Source organism: Homo sapiens, chromosome 19 (genome assembly GCF_000001405.40).
Source record: "Homo sapiens chromosome 19, GRCh38.p14 Primary Assembly".
In the NCBI taxonomy this organism is placed as follows: domain Eukaryota; kingdom Metazoa; phylum Chordata; class Mammalia; order Primates; family Hominidae; genus Homo; species Homo sapiens.
Window position 1 is genome coordinate 42,922,680 of NC_000019.10, and position 19,881 is coordinate 42,942,560.

A 19,881-nucleotide genomic window follows, 5' to 3' on the forward strand; every position below is an offset into this window, starting at 1 on the left:
ATTGTGGAAATAAAGACACAAGACTAAGAGATAAAAGAAAAGACAACTGGGCCTGGGGGACCACTACCACCAAGATGCGGAGACCGGTAGTGGCCCTGAATGCCAGGCTGCACTGATATTTATTGGATAGAAGACAAAGGGGCAGGATAAGGAATGTGTGCCATCTTCAATGATAGGAAATGCCACCTGTGTCACATGTCCACTGGACAGGGGGCCCTTCCCTGCCTGGCAGGTGAGGCAGAGAGAGGGAGGAGAATGAGAGAGAGAGCTTACAGCATTATTTCTGCTTATTAGAGACTTTTAGTACTTTCACTAATTTGCTACTGCTAACTAAATGGCAGAACCACGTGTACAGTATGGAACATGAGGGCGGACTAAGAGTGTGACCACTGAAGCACAGCATCACAGGGAGACGGTTAGGCCTCTGGATAACTGTGGGTGGACCTGACTAATGTCAGGCCCTCCACAAGAGGTGGAGGAGTAGAGTCTTCTCTAAACTCCGCCGGGGAAAGGGAGACTCCCTTTCCGGTCGGCTAAGTAGTGGGTGTTTTTCCTTGACACTGAGGCTACCACTAGACCACGGTCCACTTGGCAAAGGGTGTCTTCCCAGACGCTGGTGTTACCGCTAGGCCGAGGAGCCCTCTAGTGGCCCTGTCTGGGCATAACAGAAGCCTTGCACTCTTGTCTTCTGGTCACTTCTCACTATGTCTCCTCAGCTCCTATCTCTGTATGGCCTGGCCTTTCCTAGGTTATGATTATAAAGCGAGGATTATTATAATATTGGAATAAAGAGTAATTGCTACCAACTAACAATTAATGATATTCATATATAATCATATCTAAGATCTGTACCTGGTATAACTATTCTTCTTTTATATTTTATGATACTGGAACAGCTCATGCCCTGAGTCTCTTGCCTCAGCACCTGGGTGGCTTGCCGCCCACAAGTGGGCATCTCCATTGGACACAGTAGGTTTTGAAATCCTTGTTTATCCTCTGGGGTCTGGGTCTTGGCTTACCTATTAGCTGCAACTGAAAGAGGAGTCTGTTAAGTCAATGACTCCTGTACGGAGTAGAAGGTTTCAGCAGAGTGAAAGTAGCTGGGGTTCATAGAAGCCAGGAATGTCTGACTCTTAGAAACTGTGTGTCAGCAGATGGGTGTCCTCAGGGGTACATGGGCCATGCCAGTAGCCACTGCAGTGGACTGGAAGAAGGTAAGGGATGCTGGGTATCCCATGTTCTCTCTCAGCTCTGCAGCTGAAGATTTGGGCCCTGGGCTTGTACGACCCTGAAGCAGGGGAAGGGTATACAGGAATGGCTGCATATCAGGACCAAGTCCATGTCATCTTCTGAGGCATTGTTACTGCAGATGGAGGATTCTGTTCAGAGACCAGGCCTGGACACATGGGAGGGCCCACCCCATTCTTTTAAAATTGTTTTAAGAGAACAGTATTAGCAAATGTAGTACATGTTTTATTCTGCTAGAATCAGTCTTACTGTCACGTTTTACAATGTATCTCTTAGGAAATGGTGAGAGCCATCCACACAATGTGCATTTAAAGGGGAGTCTACTATAATTTCAGCTTTCCTACTCTTTATAGAAACCATCTTCTCTGCAAACACACAGGCAATATCTCTGTGTTCATTTCTATTGGGAGCCCTGTATGCAAGATGGAGAGAGCCACATTTCCTCCTGAGATGTTATGTAAAAGTCTGAGGTTGAGATGACATATCTGACACTCTGTTGTTACCCTCAGAAGCTCCTATACTACATGTGAAATTCTAATGACTGCATTATCCTGCCAAGTGAAAGAGGCAGGCACAAGCAAGGACAGCTAAGAGGGGTGAGAGCCTCATCATGATGGGGAGTCTTATTCTGACATCTTGGGAAAAGCTGTCCACAGTGTGAAGTCATCAACTTGTTTTCCTTGTTTACAGTTTGAGCAGCTGTTGTTATGGTGTTGAACATTTTGGTGAGTTCTGAGTGGCTCAGACATCAGGTACAAGGATTTTCCCATGAAATTTACATTGAGTTGTCCAACTCTGACTTATAGGGCTTCTGGAACAGAGTGGGTCTTGCTCTTTGAGGTTCCATGGGAGAAGATGGAATTGGAGGAACTAGTAGAATTCAGGGTAATGTCCAGTCTACAGTGGATAATAAAAACACAGAAACAATGAACAGAGCTGCAATCTCATAACAGGTGTACTACGGTTTTATTTTCCACATAATTTTTCTCTCTATGGGCATCTCTAGTTTTACCAATGATAATTTCAGTAGAATAAGTTTGTTTGCAAAATAGGTTGAGTTTCTTCAAACTTGGTCTGATTGTTTACATAAGTGCAGCAAGAGTAGCAATGGACTATGTAGGCTCTCTTTTAAAATTTTCTTTGCTGTAAGTTTTTATAAGGAATCTCAGATTAAACCTTTACAAAACTCTTGAGAATAGGAAGCCAAACCAAGGCTGACTTCAGAGTTTGCCTGCAGTTCATACTGGTTCATTCTAGCTATATTCTTAAATATAACATCCCAGTCAAAGCCTTGGTAATATAACCAATGATTTGAAATGTGTCCTGTTACAAAGAGAGCAGGTTGTTACTCTGTTTGTGCAAATATCTGTATTACCATAAACATATCAATACTCATGAATAGTTGCCCAATTCTGGGGCATTCAGGTAGAGAGCAAAAGTAAATATTTCAATTATCATTCCCAGAAGTATAGTTTATTGAACCACTATAAGCTAGAGATAGATTAAAAGACAAATTTCCATAAATCTAGAAAACTATCCACATAAAGAATCAGCATATTTTCAAATAAAAATCATAAAAACATTATCCTCATTATTATCAATTATTTCAATGAAATCAATGTTTTTCCTGCTTGGTCTAGGCTGGGAATGTTATGAAGATATCAGCCTGTTTGTTAAAGTTTTCGAAGTTCTTAGACAAATTTGGAGGGTTCAGGAGGAAAATTTGGGATTTGCTTGTGCCCATGGGACACAGGCTGGGAATACAAATGTTTTCCTGACTTTTCTCTGAAAGTCAGATAGACTGCACCTAAAACCCTATTGCCAAGGATGCTGGGATCCACTTACCAGAGACTCTGACTGTCACGGATTTGGAGCTTTCCTTGCCAGTGGCTGAGTTACGAACAGAGCAAGCATAGAGCCCGCTATGCTTTGTAGTAATCTGGGGGATAGAAAGCTTTTGTCCTGATAGCTGAAACTTCCCATTAATTGTCCAAGAATACTGTGCCGGTGGGTTAGAGTCCGCAAAGCAGGACAAGTAGAGGTTTTGTCCTGAATGGTAATAGGTGAATGAAGGGTAAATTCTGGGGAGGTCTGGACCATCTGGAGGAAAGAGAATAAAGCCACAGGTGATGTTATCCGAGGGAAGGGGATGCTCCTGGTCTCTTAAAGGGACAGAGTGACCCTCTGAGCCGAGACACACCCTCAAGTGACAGCCAAATCCCCTCTATGTTCACTGAGCCGAAGCCTGAGGTATTCACCTGTTTCTCCCATCACAAGCTGTGGGCCCCAAGTCTCCCATGACAAGAGCGTCCACTCCCCTTATATTCTTGGTTAAGGCTGTGCCTACCCAGGTTTTCCCAGGGCAGGGAGTCATGGCCAGCTCGGATGTCCAGAAGTAAATATGTCTATACTTGGACCGGAGAGAGACTGAGAGGACTGGCCTCTGGTCGTTTGGAGTTAAGCTGGTGTCCTGGCCCACAGAGGAAGAAAGGATACTCAAGGATACTCACAGAGGACATTCAGGGTGACTGGGTCACTGCGGATGCCACCATATCGGTCCCGTATTTCACATTGATAGGGTCCTGTTTCATTTCTCGTGACACTGGGTAGAATGAGGATCCTGTTTTCAATGCGTCGCTTTACCCTGGGACTGACCGGGAGGCTCTGACCATTTAGCCACCAAATGTAGGTGTAGTTCTCACTCTTAGGTTCACAGGTGAAGGTTGAGACATCCTTATTCTCCCTGGGGTTTAAGTTATTGATGGTGATGTAGGGCTTGGGCAGCTTCGCTGTGTGAATAACAGAGAGAAGATTGTCCTGTGTGGCACCTTTGATTCCTCCACAGGCATCCTTCAATTAGAGTTGGCATCTCCCACCTGTCAACACGTGTGAGTCCTTGAAAGCCAATAGCTGGTGTGTGTGTCACAAGGTAGATGCATGATGATCTAAGGGCTCAAAGACTGTGAGGCCACCTGCTCAGTCTTAGGGAAGCATAGACTTTCTCAAGTGTCAATTGAGCAGCAGTGCTGGGTCATGGACAGACATGTCAGTGGGAGTCACAGCGCCTGGTACCCCTCCCAGTCCCTCACTAATGAGTTGACTGGCTGGCTCACCCTGGGTTCATTACCTGGAATGTGCAACTGCTGGGCCCTTTCCAAATTGCATCCTACTTTGCCCCCCTAGATGTGATTTCTCTGCAACTTCCATTTCCAAGGACATTCTAGAGATGAGTAATAATGGGACTTCCCATTGTCCTGAAACCCTGCAGATACTGAGCAGCCTGGCCTGGGACTGGATGTTTCAGCAGAAATAACACAGGGGAGACCATAGTCAAGCCTGGAGGTCAGTTCAGTCATCAGGCAGTGGAGGCTCAAGGTGGGGCAGTTTTTTGCAGGTGTTTCATGATGACTTACTTGAACCAGTGACCTCTAAAGATAGAGCAGAGTGCAAGGAATGATCTAGAAAGAGTGAAGGGGACAAGCAAGAGCTGGTGGTTTTGGAGCAGAAGCATGTTCCCTGTCCTGGGTTCTTTAAGTTTCCTCTCCTTCTGCAGAGGGCAGGTGAGGACCATGTGGATCTTTCCAGAAATACATGTGGACATTTGCAAATGCAGAACTGACTGGTGGAAAGTGTGGGAATGAACTGCTGGAAATCTGGTCCTCATGGACCATGTGTGTTTGATGGATATAAGACAAATTTGGAGAGAAGTTTTGCAAATATTTTCTTTCACTGGACATTCTACTCTCTGATTCCTTGGGGTTGACTACTCTAGGGACCTCATGTAAGTGGATTCCAGAGTGAATATGAGAAGAGACTGCTGGTTGCCAGGAGCTGGGAGTGGGGAGAATCAGAAGTTGTTCATGGGTGGGCAGTTTCTTTTATGCAAGATGGGGAGTTTCTAGAGATCTGCTGTAGAGCTTGATGCCTATAGTTCACAAAGATGGAGTATTTCTTATGCCTACAACTTAGGACAAAAAGTGTTTTGCATTTCTTTCATTTTTTGATTCTGAAATATTTGTCATATACTTACTGGTTAAGCATCCCAAATCTGATAGATTCAAAGTCTAAGATGCTTCAGTGAGCATTTCTTTTCAGCATCAGATTAGTAGGCATAAGTGGGAGGTGATAAGCCAAAGATATTCTTGCCCTTTTTTTTCTCTCACCACGTTTCTAGCTTGGTGATTAGTTTTCGGTGAATTCCATACTGGCCATGCTGCACTTGTATATTTTTGAATGCCTTGGCATGTGAGAAAGGCTGATTGCTATTTTCTATGTCATGAGAACTTTCCACCTTTTCATGGTTGCATCTTTTTCTCAGTGTTTTTGTTGTGGCAGTCATTAAGAAGAGCCTGTCAGCTCAGATTTAGGACAGAGTTTTCTAATTCTGCAAAAAATGTTACTGGGATGCTGGTAGGGGTTGCATTGAATCTGCAACTCACTTTGCGTAGTATTTTCTTTCTAACAATATTGATTCTTCCAATCCATGAAAATGAAATGTGTTTCCATATATTGATATCATCTTTAATTTGTTTCAGGAAGGTTTGTAGTTTTCAGGGTATAATCATTTGACCTTTTTGGTTAAACTTATTCCAAAATATTTTATTCCTTTTGATGTTAATGTGAATTGAAATTATTTTCTTAATTTCTTTTCAGATTGTTCATTGTTAGTGTATAGTCTGAAGAATGATCTAGAAAGAGTGAAGGGTACAGGCAAAACCTGGTGGTTTTGGAGCAGAAATATATTCCCTTTCCTGAGTTTTGATTTTCCCTCTCCCTCTGCAGAGGGCAGGTGGCTCTTCCCTGATAGCCAGATAGACTTCCCTGGAAAACATATTGCCAATGCTCCAGGGATCCACTTACCAGGGACTATGATCCTCTTGATTATGAGATTTGTTCCACCAGTGGCTGAGTTATGGATGAAAGAGACATAGACCCCTCTATATGTTTTAGTGAATTGGGGTATAAAGAACACTTGTACTGATTGCTGGAACTTCCCATCAATCAGCCAAGAATGCTCGGCCAGTGGATGAGAATCTGTGAGGCAGGGGAGCTTGGGGACTTCTCTTGTATGGTAATAGGTGTATGAGGAAAAAATGGTGGGGGCATCCAGGCCATGTGGAGCAAAGAGAATAATGTCACAGGTGATATTGTCAGAGGGAAGGTAAAATCCTGGTCTGTGGAAGGGCCACAGTGACCCTGTGAGTCAAGTCGCAACACTGAAGTCCCAGCCAAATCCCCGCTGTGTTCATGATCTGGAGCCTGAGACATTCACCTGTTTCTTCCATCACAAGCTGTGGACCCTGAGTCTCCCATGACAGGAGCAGCCTCTTTTCTCTTATTGTGGATCAAGCCTAGGCCTACTCTGGTTTGCCTGGGGCAGGAAGTCACCACCAGCTTTGATGTCCAGGGGTAAAGGTCTACATACTTGGACCTGAGAGGGACTGAGAAGCCCGGCCTCTGGCCATGTGTATTTGGGATGGCAGCCTGGCTAACAGAGGAACAGAAGATACTCACGGAGGAGATTCAGGGTGACTGGGTCACTGCGGCTGGCACTCACTGGGTTCCGTATTTCACATTCATAGGGTCCTGCAGTATAGTTTGTGACACCAAATAGGTAGAGGGTCCTGTTGGTTTCAGACAGCTGCAAGCTGTGAGTCATAGGGAGGCTCTGACCATTCATCCACCACAGGTAGCTTGCATCTGGAGTCTCAGGATCACAGGTTAAAATCACAGCCTCCGTGGCCTCCCTGGGGTTGAAATTGCTGCTGGAGATGGAGGGTTTGGGAGTCTCCACTGTGCGGAAAACAGAGAGAAGATTGCCCTGTGTGGCACCTTTGACTCCTCCAAAGGCATTTTTCAATCAGAGTTGGCATTTCCAACCTCTCAGCCCACCCAAGTCCTTAAAAGCCCATGGCAGGTGTGTGTGTTACAAGACAGATGCATGGCAATCTGAGGGCTCAGAGATTGTGAGGCTGCCTGCTTTATGTGGGAGAAGCATGGACTTTCTCAAGTGTGAATTGAGCAGCAGCATTGGGTCATGGAAAGACACAGGACCAGCAGTCACAGCTTCTGGTGCCTCTCTGAGTCCCTCCATCTCCAACTGCCTGCCTGGCCCACCTTGTGGTCCTCACTTGGAGCATTCAGTGCTGGAATCTTCTTAGTTTCAATCTTACTTTGCCCCCTGTGGTATGTTTTCTCTTCAGCTTCCCTTTCCAAGGACATCCTAGAGATGGATGATGGAACTTCCCATTGTCCTTAAACCCTTTGGGTACTGGAAAGCCTGGCCTGGGACTGGGTACTTCAGCAGAAATAACACAGGGGAGACCAGAGTCAAGCCTGGAGGTCAGTTCAGTCATCAGGCAGTGCAGCCACAAGGTGGCGCAGTTTTCCCAGGTGTCTCATAGTGACTGACTTGAGCCAGTGACCTCTAAAGATAGAGCAGAGTCCAAGGAATGACCTACAAAGAGTGAAGGGGACAGGCAAGAGCTGATAGGTTTGGCCCAAGACCATGTTCCCTGTTCTGGGTCCATGATGCTCCCTTTCCCCTGTAGAGGGCAGGTGAGGACCATGTGGATCTTTCTAGAAATACATGTTGATGTTTGCAAATACAGAACTGACTGGTGGAAAGGGTGAACATGAACTGATGATGGAAGTCTGGTCCTCATGGACCATATGTGTTTGGTGGATATTAGACCAATATTTGGGAAGAAGTCTTGCAGATACTTTCTCTCATTAGACATTCTACCCTCTGATTCTGAGTTTGACTACTCTATGTACCTCATATCAGTGGATTCCAGAGTGAATCAGAGAGTAGAATAGTAGTTTCCAGGAGCTGGGATTAGGGGAATAGGGCACTGTTCCGTGGGTGTGTGGTTTCAGTTATGCAGGATGAGGGGGTTCTAGAGATCTCCTGTACAGCCTCATGCCTATAGTTCATACAGATAAAGTGCTCCTTATGCAGAAAGGTTAAAACAAAGTGTTTTCAATTTCTAATTTTTTTATTTTGGAATATTTGCAGTACATGTACTGGTTTAGCATCCCAAATCTGAAAAATTTAAAATCCACAATGCGCCAGTGAGCACTTCTTTTTAGCATCACATCAGTGGTCAGAAGGGTTGAGTTTTGAGCATTTCAGATTGTGGATTTCTGGATTTGGGATGCTCAATTCGTAATACTGTAATTTTCCCATAAAATGTTGTCAGGAGTTTAGACCTCAGGTTATGTTCTGACTCTAATAACAAAAGAAAAATTTGGAGGAAACATTAAAATGTTTTCATTAGTGGAAATTTTTACTGATGGTCCAAACATCTAAGATCAATTGCTGGTAGTAGTATTTCTCTTGAGACGAAAATGAGGTTTAGGTGTGCCGTGAATTCCAGCAGGATCACATTATGCTCAAAGAAAGATGCCAAAGGTGATTTGAATTAGCAGCTCCTTAAGTAGAGAGAGTCCCGTTAAAAGGACAGAACTGGTCAGTGCATCAATTACATAAAGAGAGGAAGGATGCCAAATTAAAAGAAGTGATGAGTGTTATGTTAGTAAATATAGAAAGAACTGCCTGCTTATAATTTCTGGGCAGAGTTAGGAAAAATGCGGAGGACCCCAAAACAGGTATGTGAAATGCTTTCTTCATTTTCTCTTAAGCTCAGGAAACACCACTAGAGTTTAAGTTTGTGTGAATTAGTAAGAGGCTAAGTGAGATGGCAATGGCTCGTGTGTCTCCCCACACGAAGAACTCCAACTTATGAAAACGGCATCATCATGAGGAAACAGTTGTATGTGGCACAGGCAGTAAAACCATGAGATAGCACCTACCTGGCCACCTCGATCTGGTCCCCAAACCACCTGTATTCCCATTAAGGGTATGTTACAGCCTTTGTAGTTGTCCCACAACTACAAAATTTAAAAATTGCTATTGTCAAAACAAAATACTAAATATGAAGTTGAAATGTTGTTCCACTTTTTTTCCCCCACTCTTTTTGAACTTTCCTGTTTCAGTTTTGGAAGTTTCTATTGACACATTCTCAAGCTAGGTATTCTTTCCACAGCTGTGTGCAGTCTACCAGTAAGCATCAAAAGCATTCTTCATTTCTCAAACAGCATTTTTTTTTTCTGAGACAGAGTCTCTCTTTGTCACCCAGGCTGGAGTGCAGTGGCATGATCTCAGCTCACTGCAAGCTCCGCCTCCCGGTTTCACTCCATTCTCCTGCCTCAGCCTCCCGAGTAGCTGGGACTACAGGTGCCCACCACCACGTCCCACTAATTTTTTGTATTTTTAGTAGAGACGGGGTTTCACCATGTTAGCCAGGATGGTCTGTATCTCCTGACCTTGTGCCTGCCTCGGCCTCCCAAAGTCCTGGGAGTATAGGTGTGAGCCACTGTGCCCAGCCATCTCTGAGGGATTTTAACGAGTTGTTGACTTTTGAGTTTGTTCAGCGTTTTACTTAGTGTTAGAACCGAGTGACAAATTCCAAGCTTGTTATATGCCTGACAGAAAGCCAGAAGTCTCTAGGAAGTGACAAAAGAATGTGAGCTCCATAGCAGGTTGAGAATGGAGTCACGAGTGAAATGGGTGAAATGAGCCCATGGGCTTTGGGAACTGCAGGCCCTTCCAGCCTCTGACACCCTGATGAGTCCGTGCAAAGATTACAACAGTGACAGCAAACTAGCGTGGCTGACTCCATCTGGCATCTAGTCTCAGGCTGGCTGTCCTCACTCATTCCTGGACATAGGCCAGGCTATCCTTGGGAAGAATTTGGTTTATGGTTTAACTTTGAAGCAAGAATGATGATAGTTCCTCCATAAAACTAACACCCTTACTTTGCCCAGGGACTGCCTTGGTAAAACTAGTGAAAGACCATGAGATTTAGATTATAAGAGGGAACTGAATTCTGCTAAAATGTTGGCACAGTTTCTATAATCCCTGACTGCTCCAGTGTCATTTGGCAAGAGTTTACAAAATTTGTAACTAATTGCTCCTATAGATAACATCACTATTGTAGAACGTGAGATTGGTCTTTTGAGATGTTTCTCATTCTTTTGCATTCTGGCAACCGGCTGACCTCATCTATACCTATGACTAATGGCTCAGCCAGTCATGTGGTCCCTACCTAGAGGCAGATTCAAGCACTAACAGATCATTTCCCTCTGCCCACATGATTCCATCACCAAACAATCAGCAGTACTCATTTTTTAGTCCTGTGCCCCTGAAACTATCCTTGAAAATCTCTAACCCCTGATCCACTGGGGAGGCTGATTTGAGTAATAATAAACCTCTGTCCTCCTGTTTGGCAGACTTGGAGTCATTAAAATCATTCTTTACTACAAATCACCATTTCAATATATATATATATATATATATATATATATATATATATATATTTTTTTTTTTTTTTGGTGTATGTATGTGTGCAGGAGGCCAGAAGAACTTGTCTGGCAATTATAAGAGTGGATGGAGGAACTGCCTATCCCTGTCCCATGGTCTTGTCCACAGGTCAGCCTCACAAAGTGAAAGAGCCCTGGATGGAAATACAGTGGAAGCTCATTCTCTTAGTGACCTGGGGTCATTGGCTCGAGATGAAGCCTGGCAGGAGTGGCAACTCCAGGTGATTTCTGCACCTTTCCTATTTCCTGGGAGGTGGGCCAGGCCACAGTGTTAGCGGGAAGGGAACAGAACAGTCAGCCTAGTTAGAGGGAGTGTCTGCGGAAGGCCTAGCAGTGGAGGAAGAAGCTGTGCAGGACAGGGCTTGCCAGTCAGAATGAAGTGGGAGGAAGATGAGGGACACAGAGAAGCAGAGAGAGGCAGAGACACCATGGCAGTGAGCAGTGAGGGCTACACTGACTTCAGTGACCCCAGGGACAAGGTGCCCCCATTTCCACAGTCCAGGACCAAGGAGCCCTGAGAACCCTCCGTGGCCAAAGAGCTTCAGAGTTACATGAGGTGGGGTGGCTTTAGGGGCAAGAGGTAGTGGGGTGATGAAACATGGGTGTCAGCCTCCGAAGGACAAGGGACAGGTGTGGCTAGAAACTCCTGGGATTCTGCATCCAAGATCCAGTCTCTAAAGAGGTTTTGGATCAGTCATTTCTGCATTCAATTCCTTTATTTGTTATGTGAGAGCTCCTGAGTATGTGTCTCTGGCTGGGCCTGTGCTGGTGCAGGGTGTGAGTGGGGAAAGAAAACAAGGTCCTCTCCTTGATCCTCTCATGACAGTGACATGGGAACTTTGGGAAACACAGGATTTCAGGTTCAATGATGGGTGTTAAGATCTGAGGGGGAGACCTGGACATTTTTTTTGCACTGACTCTGATGGTTGAGGCAGCTGATTTAGTTCTGGAGTGCAGACTAATCAGGTGACCACTTGCTCTCACTCCTCTGAGGTTTGGATGCCTAAGAAGAGAGGATTTGAGCCAATAAATGAGTATGGGGTGCTTGGAACCCAGTAAGCCCTCACTTCTGGTGGAGGAGAGGATGGGCCTGTGGCTGCAGACAGACCTCATGTGACCCTGATCTCCCCTTTGTGTTTGTGTGACTCTGGCTCAGTGACTGTGCTTTCCTGTGACTCAGTTTTCTCTCAATCAAATAAGCTAAATGGCAAATGGACTGTGGCTTTTCATGCTATCTGTGAATAAATGTTAAATTATTCACAGTCACCTGACCTAATGCGTAGCACTGTGGAAATGTTCACCAAACAGCATTTATTATTAATTTGCTTCCATGAGAAAGCACCTTTACGTCAGATCCCTGTGGACAAGCTGCTACCTGGTACATCTTCTCTCTTCTGTTTCTGCTTCTGGGGATATTAGACTTTCTATGGAGTGTCCTAGGCCTCCTAAGGCAGTTGGCTGATGGCCTACAAAGCTTGTCTTTCTGTCCTCTCCACTCTGAGTGTCAGGTGAAGAAAGCTCTGTCCTTGCCCAGATGAGGCTCTGAGGGCTGAGCCCTGGCTGGTGAACAGCTGCAGGAGACACAGTCCTCAGACAGCTGGAAAATTCTTAGTCCCAGTAAGCCCTGCCCAAGAAACCATAACCCAGTCCTGGCACAGGCTCCTCAGCTTTATCTGGAGCAAGGATTTAGGGACAGGGGTCTGGGGTTGAGGCTTCTAGGGCTGAGCTTCTCTGAGGGTCTCAGGGGGCCCCTCAGGCCAAGCCCTACTCAGTTTTCCAGGGTCTTTCTCAGGGTCAAATTTATGAAGAGGGCATGAGGTGCTTGGCTGAGACTGATCTCCTCCTGCTGAGTCCCCCCATCAGACTGTCCTTCCTCTGCAGCAAGTTTCTGCAGGGTCTGGATGTGAGAAAGGAATTCTGATCTGTTGAAATTTGTCTCCTCTGTGTGTTTCCTGCAATAAATGCCCAAACCCCAGCATGGGACATAATGCAGAGAGGGACACAGGCACAGTCCAGGCCTGACAATTCTGTGTGTGTGAAGTAGAAATGACCCCTGCCCCCCAACACCCAGGGACCATGTGGAATCACTCACGGTATAAGGTGAAGGTGAAACGTCCAGTTACTCCTCCAGTCCCATCACCTCGCTTTATGATGTGTAAAGTGTAGGATCCTGTGTCTTCCTGGGTGACATTCTGGATCAGCAGGGATGCATTGGAATATACTGTTTCTCGTCCACTGTATGCAGGCCCATATTTAATTATTTGACCGTCTACTATATATGATGTAACATAATGGTAGAGGTCCCTGATTTGTCCTTTGTACCAGATGTAGCCAGTAAGATTCTGGGGCAAATTGTGGACAAGTAGAAGAACATCCTTCCCCTCGGAAACTTTTGGTGGCTGGGCTTCAATCGTGACTTGGGCTGTGGTGGGCGGGTTCCAGAAGTTTAAAAGTGATGCTAGGAGGTGGAGAGAGCATCAGTCAATATTGAGACCTATGTGTTGGGTTGAAAAGATGGGCCCCTGGGTCCTGAGAAGGTCTCTTCAATCCTCAGCCTTGAAGACACACACACACACACACACACACACACACACACACACACAAACACACACACACACATATAAAAGGGGCATGTGTGTTTCTGTGTGTGTCCTACTGTCCTACTAGGTCAAGGTCAGCAGCATGACCCCCATTCCTTCAACACTCCTGACTTTGGCATTTTTCTGTTTGGAATCCTCTTCCCCAGGGGTCCGCACGGCCCCCTCCACACTGCCCTCAGGTTCTGCTCACATCAGGGCATCCTTAGACTTCTTTCCTGACACCTCCTTCAGAGAACCTGGGTCTTTCCTTTTTGACCTTTCCCTGCTCTGCTCCCTCCAGGGTTCTTGTCAACACCTGATCTCACATTCTAGATCTCTTTGCATGTCTGTCTTCCTCCCCATGACAGCATGAGCTCCGTGAGGACAGGGACTTTTGTGATCTTGGTCGCACCCCAGTGCCTGGAACAGGCTGCAGACTCCTGTAGATGTGAGAGTTCTCAGGGGCCTCCATGCCCTGGGTGTTTTTTTTCCTCCCAATTGTTGAGGTTTTTTGCTGAGGACAGTGTTTCATGCCCTGCTTATATTTTTATTTCAAGTGTCATCTGATATAGTTATTATTTTCATTTTTCAAAATGTGGTGACCCCTGAGGATTAATCAGAAAAACAGAACACTTAAGATTTTCCTACCTCTTACCAATTCCGGTTCAATGTGACTTTCCTATTTTGACCCCTGTCCCTCTCTGGTGTATTTTCCCCTATCCAGGCTCCAACAGAGCCTTCTTTCCTTTTTTTTCTTTTTTCCTTTTTTTCTTTTGGGACGGAGTCTCATACTGTCACCCAGGCTGGCATGCAGTGGTGCTATCTCGGCTAGCTGCAACTTCTGCCTCCCGGGTTCATGTGATTCTCCTGCCTCAGCCTCCTGAGTAGCTAGGATTACAGGAGCACACCACCATACCTGGTTAATTTTTTGTATTTTTAGTACAGACAGGGCTACATTGTGTTGGCCAGACTGATCTTGAACTCCTGATCTCTTGATCCACCCACCTCAGCCTCCCAAAGTGCTGGCTTCTTTTATTTTTTAGAACCCCATCCTCTCTAGGAGACCCCATCCAGTCACTCTGCTTCCTTTTCCTGTCCTCTCCCAGGAAGTTCTCTCCTCACCTGTGAGCAGGAGCCCTTTCCAGGTTATATGCTGTGTGCAGGGAGGGGCTGAGAGGGGCCCCATGGTCTCTGCTCCCTGCGTGTTCTCCTCTGTGGAGATGAGCCTAGGATCCAGAATCTTCCTGAGCACGGCTGTCAGCTGTGCTGTCCTTCCTCCTTCTGCACTGAGCCTCTTCCCGGGGCAGGAGCACTTCTCAAGCTCATGGGTGGGGTCAGGCCCAGGACACCTCTCTGTCCCCTCCTCTCTCAGTTCTGCCTCCTTGTCCCTCCTTCTGTTTTTCCTTTTGTCTGTGTTTCAGGTCCCTGGGAATTGTGGAGCCCTCTGCCTTTTTCAGCAGTGATTCTTTCACCAAACCTCAACACACACTTTGTGCAGACACACACACACACACACACACATACACACACACACACACACACAGAAGAGACACACACAGACCCACAGAGTCACACACATACCCTGCAGGTTGGGCAAGCGCAGTCCTGGGCCTCAGCCTCCTGCTCTCCGCATGGCTCTGGTTAGGGGTGCACATTCACGCCCTTTGGCCTCTTTCATCCCCATCTGGCTCTCCCCTGCAGTGCAGGAGGCTGAAGCTGCACCAGGTCCCTGTCACAGTGATGCCCCATTGTGCTGTGTGTGAACTGTGTGTTTCCTGGTGAGAGGGACCCTTCCTTTCTCTAATCGTATCTAGCTTGGCTGCAGCTTCCAAGGATGGACGTTCAGGACCTGGGTGTCCCAGAGGAAACTGTCCTTCCTAGAGGTGTGCAGGGTGAATCTCTCATGCCTCTTGGGAGGAGAGGCCTGTGCTGATTGCTCAGTGGGGGCTGTAAGTCCCATAGTCAAAGAGAGAGTTCTCGGTCACTCTTTGGCTCCCTGGGGTCTGGCGGCTGAGCTGGAGCTCAGGATTTCTCGTGTTCTTCCTGACCATCTTTGATGTCCTCTCTTATGTGCCCAGCTGATTGTCCTGTGGTCACCACACCTTCCCTGTGGTGGTGCAGGTGGCAGTGAAGAGTTACCCAGGAAACCCGCGGGACATGGCTCGTTGAGACACAGGAGGGGGAGCCTGGGACAGAGCAGGGGTTCAGAGCTGGAGAGATTCATCCTGACTTACTCCGTGGCCATGATGGGCTCAGCCCTCCATGTGCCGACATACCCAGGGGTCTGTCCTGAGGGTTTTGACCTGGCCAAGCTGCTGTGTGTAGAGGAGGAACAGGCAGTGGCCAGAGATCCTGTCTGCAGGGACGTTGCTCACGCCTGAGATGGTGGGTGGGGGTGGGTTGTGTTCTGTGTGCAAAGAGCAATAACACCCCCCTTTCCCCGCAAGCACACAGGAGAGGACTGTCTTCCCAAGGGACAGCTGGGGGTAGGTGGCCACATCCCAGATGGTGCCTGTGTGTGACCATCACACACGATCTAAGCCACCAGGGGTTCAGCGGGCAGGCAGGTCACAGGGTGCCTGGCTGATTCCCGGGGAGGCTGTGGGCCCTTAGGCAGCCGCTGATCTGTGTCAGCTCTAGGCTTCACCTGCGAAGCCCCAGAGAACAGGACAGATGGAGCAGGGGTGGGCATTTAGGGAGCAGTGACAGAAAGAGTTGATGAGGATGGAGGGAGTTCACGAGGGGAAAGCGCCCAGTGTGGCGTTGCGTGCACCAGAGCTGCCCTGGGAGATGCCTTTAGCTGGGCCCAGGGAAGGAGCAGGTGTGCGGGGAGGAGCTACCTGCAGGGGGAGTGGTGTTAGGTTGGTGGCTGCCAGGTCAGGGAGGAGCTGACAGAGTCCATGTGGGGAACATGGAGGGCGCGCTGAGGACTTGAGCCGAAGTGACCCCGGTGAGGGTGGACCCTGCTGGGCTGTGGGTTCCGCTGAGGGAGGTTGGCATCCCCTGGGAAGGCTCCAGGCTGGGAGGGACTCTGTCACCCTCTGTTGGACAGGGAGGGAAGTGTGAACGGCAGCAATCCCAGGCCAGGCTGCATGTTTTATTCCATGTGGATCTGCACACTTCACACGAGATCACACATATGTTATGTTACAGCTCCTTCACCTTCCAGCCCCGTGAGTCCCAGTCTCTGTGGCTCTACGTTCACTGTTCTCCCTCTTTCACAATCAGATGTCCCAAACGCAGATTTTTGTCACCTTCTGTGAGTTTGTGTTTGTGTGCAGTAGGCGGCACTGTGTATACCCTGGGGGCAGTGATGTCTGGGGCTGAGCAGTGCACGTGGGCTTGGGAGCAGAAGAGGGAGCAGCAGGGTGGGAAGATCAACGTCAGGGGGGCAGGGACAAGTCATTTTCATTTTCTCACTCCCAGGGACCAGAACCCAGGATTCTGACTCCAGGGCAGAGTACCACACCCTGCTTGTGTCCCTGGATATCATGATGCTCATAGTGTCATGTTGCCTTGGCATTCACTTTTTAAGGTGTAAGTTTATTGGCCTCAAATCAGAGGCAGGGCTTGTACACCATGGCCGTTTTCAATACTGTGTCTGGTTCAAGTGGCTCCAGTTGGTGTCCAGAGATAAAATCTTAGAGGCATCTCTCCTGCTTGGTGTGCTGGGTTCCCCTCTCTCCAGCTGCTTTCTTTAAACTGATAATTCTGACATTTGCCCTCACATTTAAAGTGACCATCTCTCAGTCACAGCTTGAGCTCTTGGTCCCAGTGTTTGCTGCTTGCTTTGAACACATCCATTAAAGCTCCCTGCCTGAAACCTGTCAGATAACACCCTGGACCTAATAAAGCCATTGGCTTACCGGTCTCTTCTCTCCTCCCTGCCTGGGCTCACTGAACACTGTGTCTGTGGCCTCCAGGTGCGCCGAGTGCTCCCTAGTGTCTGTAAGTAGTAAAAATACTTATATTTTCACGTTCTGGTTGTATCATTGTAGCCTCACATGCCATCCAGGGCCTGATATTGAGGCTGCCCTATGGGACCTGTGCTGGTTGAGCCCCTGCTGGAGCTCTTGTTTTGGGACCTCTGGTTCTCTTGGGGACAGGAGCTTCCAGCTAACTTGATTGAAAACCTGATGTCTTTCATTGAAACACTGGGTCAGATGATGTATTCATGGGCTTCAGCTGCCATAACAAACACCTTAGCCTGGGTGAATTAAATAATAGAAATCTGTTTTTCACAGTTCTGTGAATAATGTGCTATTCTAACCACTTTAAAATGCACAATCAGGTGAAATTAACCACATACACAGTGTTAAATTACCCTCACCACTATTTTTCCTAGAAAATTGTTATCATTTTAAACTGAAACTTTGTATCTTTTAAACAATAACTCCCTGTATGTTCCACCCTAGGCCTTGATCACCTCTACTCTGTCTCTATGAATTTGCCTATTCTTGATGTTTCATATAAATGGAATTATACAATTATGTTATTTTGTTTCTGACATATTTCACTTAGCATAATGTTTCCCAAGTCTATGCATGTTCCAGTGGGTGTCAGAGCTTCCTTCCTCTTTATGGCAGATTATCATTCTGTTGTATGTGTCACCATATTTGTTTATTCATGTGTTGATGAACACTTGGATTGTTTTCATATTTTATCTTTTGTGAATAATGCTGCAATGAACATTCCCATGCAAGTACCTGTTTGAGTCCCTGGATTTAATTCTTTGGGTACATACTTAGGAATGGATGTTGTTTCAAATGAGAATTCTATGATTAGCTTTTTGAGGAACAGCAAAGCTTTTTCTCTTAGCGGCTGTACCTTTTCATATTCTCACCAGCAACGTATGAGGATTCCAAATTCTACATAATGCTGCTACTTGTTATTTAACATTTTAAAAGAATGGTAGCCAGTTTTGTAGGTGTGATGTGGTGTCTCATTGCAGCTTTGACTTTGTATTTTCCTAATGACTAATGATGTTGAGTATCTTTTCATGTCCTTCTTGACTCTTGGTATATCTTCTTTGAAGAAATGTCTATATGAGTCTTTTGCCCATTTATAAATTGGATGCTTTCTCCTTTTGTTATTGAGTTGTAGCTAGTTTTTTATATTATCTGGACATGAAACCTGTCTATATGTGGTTTGCAAATATTTTCTCTCATCTGTGTATATTAATTATTTTCTTGATAATTTCCTTTGATGCACAAAAAGCTCACATCTTGATAAAGCCCAATTTATCTTGTTTTTCTTGTTTCTCATGCTTTCGTATCATATCTAGGAATCCACTGGATACTTGAGGTCATCAATATTTACCTCTATGTCTATTTTAAGATGTTTTTATGGTTATATATCTGATATTTAACTCACTGATCAATTTTTTACGGAATTGTTTGATAAGGTGAGAGGTAGGGTTATCTAAATTCACTGTTTTGCATGTGGTTATCTAGTGGTTTCTGCACTATGATTTGAAAGGAGAATTGTTCCTCCATTAAACTGTCTTGACACCCTCTTCAAAGTGTAATTGGCCATAAGTGTGAGGGTTTATTTCTAGACTCTCAATTCTATCCCATTTGTCTTTATGTCTATTCTTTTGCCAGCAACTTGTGTTTTAATAATTGTACTCCTTTGTGAGATTTCAAATAAGAAAGTTCAAGTCCTACAATTTATTTTGGCAAGATTCTTTTGGCTATTCAGGGGTACTTTTTTGAGAGGTGGGTAGGCCAATGTTTCACAATTGGGAAAGCCTTTTCTGTCTTCTTCAGGGGGAAATTTGGGAGAACCTTTAAGAAACTTTACCTAAGCAGGTAAACTGTCACCACTTTATTTGCTGAAGTGCTATGTTAAAGTGTGCATTGCCTCTTGTGGAAGAATTATGAGACCCTGGAAGCACCTGCCCAGGTGGTGAGAGACAGTGAATTCCATGATGAGGGGCAGAGAGGACATTGTTTTGGGATACAGTGTTGTTGGGGGAGTTGTACACATCTCAACTTCTTTATGTCTCTGTACAGTGGGTGTAGGGAGCAGCTCCATAGGGTCAGTGGGTTTTTCTCCCTGTGTGCAGAGACGTGAGATTGTAGAAATAAAGACGCAAGACAAAAAGATAAAAGACAGCTGAGCCTGGGGGACCACTACCACCAAGATGCAGAGATAGGTAGTGGCCCCGAATGCCAGGCTGTGCTGATATTTATTGGAAAGAAGACAAAGGGGCAGGATAAGCAGTGTGAGCCATCTCCAATGATAGGTAAGGTCACATGGGTCATGTGTCCACTGGACAGGGGGCCCTTCCCTGCCTGGCAGCTGAAGCAGAGAAAGAGAGAAGAAAGAGAGAGAGAGCTTACACCATTATTTCTGCTTATTAGAGACTTTTAGTACTTTCACTAATTTGCTACTGCTAACTAAACAGCAGAGCCAGTTGTACAGGATGGACTATGAAGGCGGACTAGGAGTGTGACCACTTAAGCACAGCACCATAGGGAGACGGTTAGGCCTCTTGATAACTGCGGGTCGACCTGACTAATGTCAAGCTCTCCACAAGAGGTGAAGGAGTAGAGTCTTCTCTCAACTCCCTCGGGGAAAGGGAGACTCCCATTCCTGGTCGGTTAAGTAGCAGGTGTTTTTCCTTGACACTGAGACAATCACTACTTCATGGTTCGCCTGGCAACCT

The 19,881-nt window shown here is 46.2% G+C and overlaps 1 protein-coding gene across 2 annotated transcripts; it reads right to left on the reverse strand.

Moving 5' to 3' along the window:
• Positions 1-1,452: 1,452 nt before the first annotated feature.
• Positions 1,453-14,528, reverse strand: PSG7 (pregnancy specific beta-1-glycoprotein 7). 2 transcript variants are annotated; one of them, NM_002783.3, is made up of 6 exons: positions 14,334-14,528; positions 12,725-13,090; positions 6,763-7,041; positions 3,759-4,037; positions 3,094-3,348; positions 1,453-2,145 (listed from the first exon to the last, which is right to left on the reverse strand). In NM_002783.3, exons 1-6 carry the CDS (start codon positions 14,395-14,397, stop codon positions 2,129-2,131), a joined length of 1,260 nt encoding a protein of 419 aa, NP_002774.2. In that variant the 5' UTR covers positions 14,398-14,528; the 3' UTR covers positions 1,453-2,128. The 2 variants fall into 2 exon arrangements, with proteins under 2 accessions (NP_002774.2, NP_001193579.1); NM_001206650.2 differs by lacking the exon at positions 12,725-13,090.
• Between the last annotated feature and the right edge of the window lie 5,353 nt (positions 14,529-19,881).